This window comes from Homo sapiens, chromosome 12 (genome assembly GCF_000001405.40).
Source record: "Homo sapiens chromosome 12, GRCh38.p14 Primary Assembly".
NCBI lineage: Eukaryota > Metazoa > Chordata > Mammalia > Primates > Hominidae > Homo > Homo sapiens.
In genome coordinates this window covers 38609836-38620963 of record NC_000012.12, presented here as the reverse complement: position 1 = coordinate 38620963, position 11128 = coordinate 38609836, and the positions used below count along the sequence as shown (strand labels likewise).

The window sequence follows — 11128 nt, the reverse complement described above, 5'->3', positions numbered from 1 at the left end:
AAATTATTTCTTTGTAACTTTGATTTATTTCTTTCAAGTAGAAGGGACTTTATCCGCTCAAAGATTATTGCCTTTGCTTTCTCTAGTACTTTAATTTTATTTTTAATATTTGAATATTTGATGCATGTGAAACTTATTTTGCTGTAATAGATGACAAAAGAAACCAGGTTTATTTACTAGCTAGCTCTTTTCACAACATTTATTGAATACTTTATCTTTTCCTAATGACATTTATATGCCAAATTTTATATATAGTATATTTGGGACTATTTCCTTTTATCTAATTTCTCTGTGTTTCTCTACATCAGTATGAATTTTCTTTAATTGAAGTGGCATTTTAATATGCTCAAATATCATGTATGATTATACTATTCCTTTATTCCATTTTTTCTTTCTCTTTTTTAAAAATCGGGTTAAAGACAGCAGAGTTTGATACTGAGGCTAGATGAAAAATGTCCTTTTTATTTTTTAAAGTTTGAGACTCCTAAATGGCAGATTAGACTTATAAGCAAATACAAACATGTATCTAGATTTGTCATTTGTGATTATAGGACTTACATCAGAGCCTCTGTCTCCTACACTCTTATAAACAGTATTATTATGGTATAATTTATCAAAAAATGAACATATTTAATATGTAGAGTTTGGACATATGCAGACTTTTGGGATACCATCACCACAATGAAGGTAATAGACATTTCTAGCATCTCCCAAAGTTTCTTTGTGTCCCTTTGTTTTGTTGTTGTTGTATTGTGATAAAAATGCTTAAAATGAGTTCTCTTAACAAAATTTGAAGTGCATAAATCTGTGCTATTAATTATAGGCACTATGTTGTACAGATCTCTAGAACTTATTCATCTACCCTAACTGAAACTTTATAAGCATTGAACAACTTTCTATTTCCCCCACCCCTCAGCCCCTGACAACCACTATTGTATCTTCTGCTTCTATGAGTTTCACTATTATATTTTCCTACATGTTTTGAATTATATTCAGCCGGTACAATACAGGAAGTTGTATCTTCTTTGGCCAATTCTTATGCTGATACAAATCACAGAGTATACATTTCATGGGCACAACACATGTAAAAGATCAAATAGTTGATAGTTTTGCTTTTTAATAATTCCTAATGTTCAGCACTTCTAATTATGATTAACCTGCAAGATCTTATTACTTAAATTATATGTCATATTTACTATATCTAGTATATTCTGGAAGTTTTTGCATTTGGAATGTGATTTTCTTTGTGTTTGGTTGGTCCTATAAAATATTATATTTTCTGATTAAGTTTGCTTCAGTGACTGCATCCCTGGTGGCAATTGAAAGAGAAGCAGCAAATGTGAGCATCTAAATCTTTACAAATTAATGCCATTGATAACCCTGTTTTGATTACTACTTTAGCCCCCAGTGATAGAAATTTTCTTTATGCTACCAAATTTAGGCACATACACAGAGAGAGCTACTAAGCTACCAATACCAAAGGCTTAAACCTTTCATTAGCACAGTAAGTGAATGTGAACCTAGCATAGACTGTGCTGCACCTCTACAATTTCCTGGTGCACTTTGGAAATTAAGAAGTGGGAATGCAATCAACATGATAATTTGGCCAAGCTCTGGAGGAGAGATTTCAGAGTTAATGTAGAGCATATTTTTAAAAGAATAAATGTAAAACGACCTGAATCTAAAGAAAGGTAATTTTGAGAATGAGTTATTTGAAATAAGTATTCACCAAGTTTAAAATACTTCTAGAAAATATTCCATGTTGTCATAAGGGCATTTTGAGCTTAAATCAAAGACTATCTAATAAATAATGCTCTGATTACCAACCAGAGAACTAGAAGGCATATTTACAGTGCTGCTCTACCAACTTTGGCATTCTCCTAATCTACATGCATTGTACTACTTAATTGATAATTGGAATTTGGAGCTGACCCTTGAAAAAGTATGGAGATTGGTAGTATGCATAAAAGTAAAATATATGTCTTAGGAGAATGATGACCACAAACTGGAAGCAAAATGTATAAAAAATGTATATAAAGTAAATTAGACTAAAAGAATTGGAAACCAACCTATAATCTGTGGTTTAAACTGTATGTATTGGATGATTTTTGCTTCTGTTAAAGTTTTTTCTATGCCATTCTATTTTTGCTGGATGGGTGGGTTGAGATGTGGGATGCTAGTTGTATTTTCAAGGGAACTTAGGTTCAATACAAAGGTTAGCAATATTTGGCTGGGATTAACTGAACATCTGTATGCATAAAATTGAAGTATGAGGAGTTGAGGCAGAAACTTGGGGAAAAGTTACATAGAAGTCCAGATGACTGCTCCATGAAAGGCCAGAAAAAGAGGAGAAATCTGTGTGTAAACCATCAGAATGGAATTGTTTGGTTCTAAACAAACAATTAATATTAATGCCAGTATGGTGAAATTAATGCCAGTATAAAAAGGCAAGTTCAGCCCCTTTTAGTTTCTGTTTGCTCTTCTGTTTCCCACCATGTGATGACACAGCAAGAAGACCCTCACCAGAAGTCTTCTTGGTGACTTCTAACAGTCACCAATTCTAAACAATTCTAAACAGGTTCAAAGAGGGAAGTGGAATGTTGGTGAAGTAATACGCATATATTTCCTTAATCCATAAACGGTTGTCATGGCTTTTTATAAGGAAACACTAAAGACACGGACACTGTCCTGTTCCTGACCTGAAATGCCTAATTTCAATTCTGTCATTCCATTATCTACCAATCCAAACTCAAACCCATTCTTTAAGGGTTGGGTTTACTTATATCTCCTCAACAAAGTCTTCTGTAATGACAAAATTCAGGGATTCTCAATGATGTCTACACAATTAAATCAATAGTGAGGTTTTTGACATTTGTTTTTAGTACCAATGCCCATACCTGATCCTAGGTAAATTTTATCTGGCTCCTAGGAGGTAAATTCTAGGCTATTTTATAGTGGGATATTTTTAGAATTTCCCCAAGTACAGCCAAGGGTAAATTTAGACATTTCTGATCTCTCTTCTTTTGCTGTAATAGAATCCCTGACTTTTAGTTGAAAAAATGGCTCCTATCTACAGTAAAAATTATATTTTCTAGCTTTCCTTGCAGCTTTGTGTAATCATGTGACCAAGATCTGGCAAAATGTATACAGGTAGAAATGTCATGAGATTTTCTTTCTGCAATCATCCTATATTTTGTTACCTAGAATACAGATACAAGAATTTGAAGCCATGTGTGGAAGAGCAACTTGATGGTAAGATGTCCATGACATCCTGAGGAGGCATGCTAACTTTAGACTGCCTTTCAGATGTTGTAAGAGAAAAACAAACTCCTATTTTACTTCTATGTCTTTTTTATTTTTCATAGATAATCTTAATTCTAAAAAAAACAAATTTAACTTCAAAGTACAGTGCTGCACACAACTAAAATATTTGACATTGTTTTTACCAAATAATAAGTAGCAAAGGCACAGATATTGCCAACTATGAAGCTAGTGGCTCCTATTGTACTATGGCCATTAAAAAAAATGTAGTTAAACTGCTGCCATTGATGTCTTGAAAGGCAGTTCACATATCCACTGAGATTGTAGCATTATGACAAATAACAGGAACAGTTTAGAAGACGTCATCTGTGTTGGATGGTTCATTCTGATTTCAATAAAGTAGGCACAGAGCAAATATAACTGCTAAAATAGGCACTTTCTACCTATAACCAGAATTTAAATTAATGGATAGTCTGTAATTTGAGGCTTTGCATGGTTAAAAAGCCAACTACTCTGTACACCAATGTCTCAGTTCATTTCGTGCTGCTATAATAAAACATCAGAAACTTACTAATTTAGAGTGAACAGAAATTTATTTCCTCACAATTCTGGAGCCTAGAAAGTTTAAGATCAAGAGGCTGACTTCTGGTGAGGGTCTTCTTGCTGTGTCATCACATGGTGGGAAACAGAAGAGCAAACAGAAACTAAAAGGGGCTGAACTTGCCTTTTTATACTGGCATTAATTTCACCATACTGGCATTAATATCCCTCATGGTTTAATCACATCCTAAAGGTCCCAGCTCTCAATATTGTTACAATGACAATTAAATTTCAACATGAGTTTTGGGGAGGACAAATTTTCAAACCATAGTATACAAATCGAAACAGTTGTAAATGATGGCTTCAAATACACTAGTAGGTGGTTAAGACTGAAGCAGATTTTTGAAGTAGCTTCCTTTAGGAATTCTCTGCTAAACGTGGGAGAAACAGAAAGCAAATTAAAGATTTTGCCTTCCTACACAAACCTGAAGTTTCAGATGGCCTCAAGCTATCCTCAATTTAAATAAGAGAAGAAGGAATGGGCAGAGCCTGAAGCTCAATAAGTAGAAGACTAGGTTCCAGGCTAATAAAAGATGTCTAATGAAATATTTGGATTTGGTTACTTACACATGGAACTAACTAGAAACAGTGAAATTAGTTGAAGTAAAGAGATGACTATACATGTGCCATATTGGTGTGCTGCCCCCATTAACTCGTCATTTAGCATTAGGTATATCTCCTAATGCTATCCCTCCCAAATCCCTCACCCCACAACAGTCCTCAGATACGTATGTAACAAACCTGCACGTTGTGCACATGTACCCTAAAACTTAAAGAACTTAAAGTATAATAATAATAAAATTAAAAAAAAGAGATGACTATATTTGTGATAAAATTGTTTGGCTAAAGAAATGCCTGAAATAGCCTGTTTTATTCCTAAAACAATCTTTAGTCCTTAAACATCTATCATTAACTGAGTCCCCAAAGTATGCAGTTCCCAAGAACGGCATCCGAAGAAACTTCCAGGAGCAGATCCAAAGCCCATGGAGGGCTCTGAACAAAGAATTTCATTCCAGGGAAAGAATAAGAAGCTACCAGACGGGCTCATAAGAAACTTATTTGATTGTGATAGAAGGAGGTCTTTGCAATGACAGCCCGTAGAAATCTAATAATGTTAATAAAGGATGAGTGGCTGCATGTTTTTCCCTCTCCTTTTTTCCTTTCTATTCTCATATTCTTTTGTGGTAGACAGAAAAATGGCTCCCCCAAAACACCTGTGTCCTAACACCAAGTACCTGTGAATATACCACCTTATTTAAGTGGGCCTAGGACTTTTCAGGTGTGATTAATTTAAGGGACCTTGAGATGGGAGATTATCCTGTATTATGCAGGTGGGCCCAATGTAATGACAGGGTTTTTATGAGGGGGAGCTATGAAAGTCAGAGAGAGAAAGAGATGTGACAATAGAAGCAAAGTCAGAGAAAGACAAAGTCAGAGAGAAAGACAGATTGAAGATTTTATGCTACTTTTTTTTTTTTTTCCTGTTTGAGACAACGTCTCACTCTGTCACCCAGGCTGGAGTGCAGCAGCACAATCATGGCTCACTGAAGCCTTGACATCCCAGGCTCGGGCAATCCTCCTACTTCAGTCTCCTGAGTAGCTGGTACTATAGATACAGGCCACCATGCCCAACTAATTTTTTGTATTTTTTCTTTTTCTCTTTTTTTTTTTTTTGAGATGGAGTCTCTTTCTGTCACCCAGGCTGGAGTGCAGTGCCGTGATCTCGGCTCACTGCAAATTCTGCCTCTCGGGTTCAAGTGATTCTCCTGTCTCAGCCTCCCGAGTAACTGGAACTACAGGCACGTGCCACCACCCCCAGCTAATTTTTTGTACTTTAGTAGAGACAGGGTTCCACTGTCTTGCCCAGGCTGGTCTTGACTCCTGAGCTCAGGCAGTCTGCCCACCTCAGCCTCCCAAAGTGCTAGGATTACAGGCATGGACCACCACTCCTGGCCAATTTTTTTGTATTTTTCCTAGAGATGTGATTTTGCCATGTTGCCCAGACTGATCTCAAACTCCTGGGCTCAAGAAATCCTCACACCTTGGCCTCCCAAAGTGCTGGAATTACACATGTGAGCCCCCGTGTGCAGCTTGTTGCTGGTTTTGATGATGGAAAAGGGAATAAGAACCAAGATGGCCTCTAGAAGCTGTTAGAGGAAAGAAAATTAATTCTTCCCTAGAGCCTCCGAAAGAAACACAGCTCGGCTGACTCTTATGATTTTAGCCCTGTAAGTAACACCCATCTTTGATTTCTGCCCTCCAGAAATGTATAATGATAAATTTGTAGTATTTTAAGCCACTAGTTGGTGGTAATTTATTGTAGCAGCAATGAGAACTTAATACATCTCCAACATAGTTCCAAAAATACTTAAAAATTTCCGCGATACTTCCTCCAAATATTTGAATGGATGAGCTCTAATGTTTAATATCCAATACATTTTATATATTTTATACTTAGGAATATACAAAAATACTCTCTGCAACACACACATACACACATTTTGCAGGTGTATTAGTCTGTTCTCACACTTCTATGAAGAAATACCCAAGACTGGGTAATTTTTAAAGGAAAGAGGTTTAATTGACTCACACACATGGCTGGGAGGCCTCAGGAAACTTACAATCATGGCTGAAGGCAGAGGAGAAGCAGGCACCTTCTTCACAAGGTGGCAGAGTGGAGTGAGTGCAAGCAGGGGAAATACCAGATGCTTATAAAAGCATCAGATCTCGTGAGAATCACTCATTATCATGAGAATAGCATAGAGGAAGCCACCCTCATGATCCGATTACCTCCACCTGGTCCTGCCCTTGACAAGTGAGAATTATGGGGGTTACAATTCAAGGTGAGATTTGGGGGAGGGACAAAAAGCCAGACCATATCAACAGGTGAGAAGATTTTTGGTATCTCTCTTGCTATTTTTTCTGTTCAGGCAAACGTACTTATTTTCACTGCTTATCATGCTTTAAAACAATTCTGAATTTTGAAGGATGTGAAATTTTATTTCTTCTTTTTACAATGATCTGCTCTCCCTTTAAAATTATATCTTATTGTAGGTCAAACATGGGTCAGAATTTATATCCTGCATGGGAACTTTCCTGAATAACCTGGGAGAACAGCCTGACAGTCTTGGCTGTCACTTAAGCAAGTCACTTAGCATATCTGAGCTTTATTGTCTAATCAAAAATTATAACAGTCAGTTCTGTTTGATTTTATTGTATTTGTACCATGGATTAAGCAGTGCTGTATTTCATGTAACACTATAGGGACTTAAGTGAACTTGGAAGTGAGCAGGAAGAATATTTTATGGGAGTGAAAGCCAATTCAATCAGGTAACCAATTGAGAGTTGAAGGCAATTTAGCTTTCTCTTATCTATGTGAGTAAAAATAAGACTTTCGAATGGAAAATAGGTACACTATCTTCTACCTAAAATGTATTAGAAGATCTGCTCTCCATAGACCACAGTGAGCAGAAAGAAAATGCTATTAAGTCCTTAGTTCTATTGTCTGTTTATGAAGAAAACCTTGATTGTAACAATGATGGAATTGGTTTCCAATGAATGTCATTGACCTCTTCCAGGAAAATTAGATTTAGGAATTGTATTGGTCCATTTTTGCATCACTATAAATACCTGAATCTGGGTGGTTTATAAAGAAAAGAGGTTTAATTGGCTCGCAGTTCTGCAGGCTTTATAGGAAGTATGGTGCTGGTGTCTGCTTCTGGTGGGGGCCTTGGGAAGCTTAGAATCATGGCGGATGGCAAGGGGGAGCCAGCATGTCATACGGTGAGAGTAGGAGCAAGGGAGACAGTGGGGAGATCTCAAACTCTTTTAAACGACCAGATCACGTGTTAACTGAGTGAGAACTTACTTATCACGAAGGGGATGTTGCTAAGCTATTCATGAGGACTCCACTTTTATGATTCAATCATCTCCCATGAGGCCCCACCTCCAACATTGAGAATAACATTTTAACATGAGATTTGGAGGGGACAAATATTCAAACCATGCCAGAAATCAAATTTAACCTCCCTTGTCTCTTTTAGCAATTGTATGTATGGTATCTTCAGGTTTTGTGTGTTGCTTTTTTCCATACAATTTGTTTGATGTTGTGTGTTTTATTTTACTTTTTAAGAGTTTATTTTGCTTTTTCTGGAATATTTTAGCTATATCTCTGTGTCCACTCAATTTAATGGACCTAAATTGGAAATAGAATCCTTCTGAGATGGAAGAGGACTCTGGCAGCTTTAAGGAGTGCTAGATTGCTTTAGCTTTGATGAGCAACTTTAGCGTTCATAGTATCGGAAACACTTTGGAAGATTAGTTCCAATAAGTTCACAGTAGTTTCAGCTGAAGTGCACTAATCACAATTACTAATTCTTTTCAAAGACTGATAAAGTGATGCTCCTCAGGATTCTATATGTTACCATCCAGTAGACATCTCAAAATAGAAAGCAGTCAGCATGAAATAGAGAAAGTGATATCTGCTCCAATGACATTAATGTTTTTCTTACAGCATGATCAGTCTCATTCTGCAATACAGTGCCATCAAAGGAATTTCGTTCTCGTTTACTACAACATTCTTTCATTTTATGGACCATTCATTGCTTCAAAAAACACAAAAAGAACCCTATTTCCAACAAACAAACTAACAAACAAACAAAGCTTCTTTTCTTTTTTTAAGACAGAGTCTTGCTCTGTCACCCAGGCTGGAGTGCAGTGGTGCTATCTCAGCTCACTGCAACTTCCACCTTCCATGTTCAAGTGACTCTTGTGCCTCAGCCTCCCAAATAGCTGGGATTACAGGCATGTGCCACCACACCCAGATTATTTTTGTGTTTTTAGTAGAGATGGTTTTATCATGTTGGCCAGGCTTGTCTCAAACTCACAAACTCAGGTGATCTGCCTGCCTTGACCTTCCAAAGTGCTGGGATTACAGGTGTGAGCTACCACACTTGGCCCCAAATAGAGCTTTTTGATAGCTAAAGCATTGCTATAGGGAATGGAAATTTTGGTACTTTCCCATTTATTAACTCTTTCCTTGACTATTGTTACTACCTAGAACCTTCTGCTCTATTTGGCTTTGTTATTATTGTGTTGGTACAAAAGTAATTACAATTTTTACCATTGCTTTTAATATTTTAATATTGTATGTGTGTGTGCATATCTCTTGACTGTTTTCTACTGGATACTTTAAAAAAGTAACTAAATAATGCAATATTCATTATGAGAAAAGGTCTATGAGAGAGGAAAAATGGAAACGACCAAAAGGTCCCAAAATAGAGATTTAGTTGGTTAATTTAAGACATTTAGGACATACAAATATAGTTAGTCTTCAGTCAATAAAAATGAAGCAATGAAAAATCAATGACATAGGAATATCTCTATCCTAATGTGAAAAGGAGGTTAAATATGGCAAACTCAGTAAACGTGATTCTTCTCTGTACTGCCACAAAAACTCCTCCTGAAAACACTGCACTTCTAGAGAAAAATGACTGAATTCTTGGGAACAACACGTTAGAAAAATGTACAGCCAAACTCACCAAAAGACAACAAAAGGGAGGAGATATTTGTTCATTGCTGCAAATGACAGTGAAACATAAAACAGAACTTTTAGCTGTTACTGAAGTCGCTTGGAGGTATGAGAGCTGAGATAAAGTTGAGAGATCAGGATATTGTTACTCATATTGGAACAAAAGCTGTGCTTTTGGCACAGCTGGAATGGAACCCTCTTCAAAGAAAAGAAAATAGATGTCACTGTTGGCTATAATGTCTATGAAAATTGGACTAGAAAATCCACAGGTCCGGGGAACATCAGGAATCATGTCAATTGCTCAGAACCATAAAAGGAAAAAAACATAACCTTGAAGAAATGGAAACTCTAATCCCAAATCACAGGCTGTGAGGTTTGAATGTTTACCACCCATGTGGTAGGAAACCAAAAGTTAATAATTTAACATTGGCCCACAGTAAGACTCCCACAAATAAATCTGCCCTCACTGAAGATGAGACATAAAAAAATTTAAACTCCACATGAAAATTAATTACCCTAGTCAACAAATGTGAACAATAATATATGAATAGCTAGCAATAAAAGAACAATACAAACATGACTATGGAATGTCAATGTTTAACATTGTTTAACAATGGGAAATTTAACGTTTGTTAACATTGTTTAACAATGTTAATTGCTTAATGTTTAAAGAGATACAAGAAGGATAAAATCCATATTGAGGGAGGTATGGGAATTGTAAAAGACTAAATGTGAAACAGAGACAAATCAAATCTCTAAGAAAAATATAATTAATAAAATTATGAATACAAAGGACAGATTATACAGAACAGTAAATTCAACTAAAGAGGGATAGTATATAGAAAAATCAATTTAGTGATGTATATAGTGAGATAAAGAGATGAAAATACAGACATGAAAGAGAGTAAATGAAGGTCTAACATATAGTAATAGGAATTCCAGAATTAGCAAGAAAAAAGGTTGGAAAGATCATAGACAAGGGAAGATAATAGTTGATAATTTTCTAATAGTAACATTATTAGTTTTCAGATTGAAGATGTTCAAAATGCCTGATGAGTGAAAACAGAGTCATTGATACGTACGCATCTCACGAAAACTGAAGAATATCAAAGAGAAAAATAAAATTTTACAAGTAAATTTTCTGCTAGTTTCTGTTTCTCCTTTACAGCTGTAGCTCCAATTACATATGTCTTAAACTGTCTTATACTATCACATAGGTCACTGATATTCACTTAATTTTTCTTCAATCTTTATTCTTGCAGTTCTCCAGATTTAATGTTTTCAATTCTGTATCATTGAACTTCACTGATTCTTTTACTTTCTCCAATTTGTTGTTAAGCTGTTCAATTAATTTTGATTCACTTATTATATTTTTAGATTTAAAATTTTTATCTGGCTCTCTTTTATACTTTTTATTTCTTTACTATGACTCCTCATTTTCCCATTCATTAGGACTGTATTTTTTTTTCTTTTTCTTTTCTTTTATTTTTTTAAATGGAATTTCATTCTTGTTGCCCAGGCTGGGGTGTAGTGGCATGATCTTGGCTCACTGCAACCTCCGCCTCCTGGGTTCTAGCAGTTCTCCTGCCTCAGCCTCCCAAGTAGCTGGGATTACAGGCATGCACCACCACGCCTGGCTAATTTTTGTATTTTTAGTAGAGACGGGGTTTCACCATCTTGGACAGGCTGGTCTTGATTTCCTGACCTTGTGATCCACCGGCTTCAGCCTCCCAAAGT

The 11128-nt window shown here is 36.0% G+C and overlaps 1 long non-coding RNA gene across 1 annotated transcript; it reads left to right on the top strand.

Moving 5' to 3' along the window:
- The first annotated feature begins 380 nt into the window (after window positions 1-380).
- Window positions 381-10528, top strand: LOC124902917 (uncharacterized). The gene is made up of 2 exons (XR_007063274.1): window positions 381-1339; window positions 10414-10528. It is a non-coding gene; the product is annotated as an uncharacterized LOC124902917 (long non-coding RNA).
- Window positions 10529-11128: the final 600 nt, after the last annotated feature.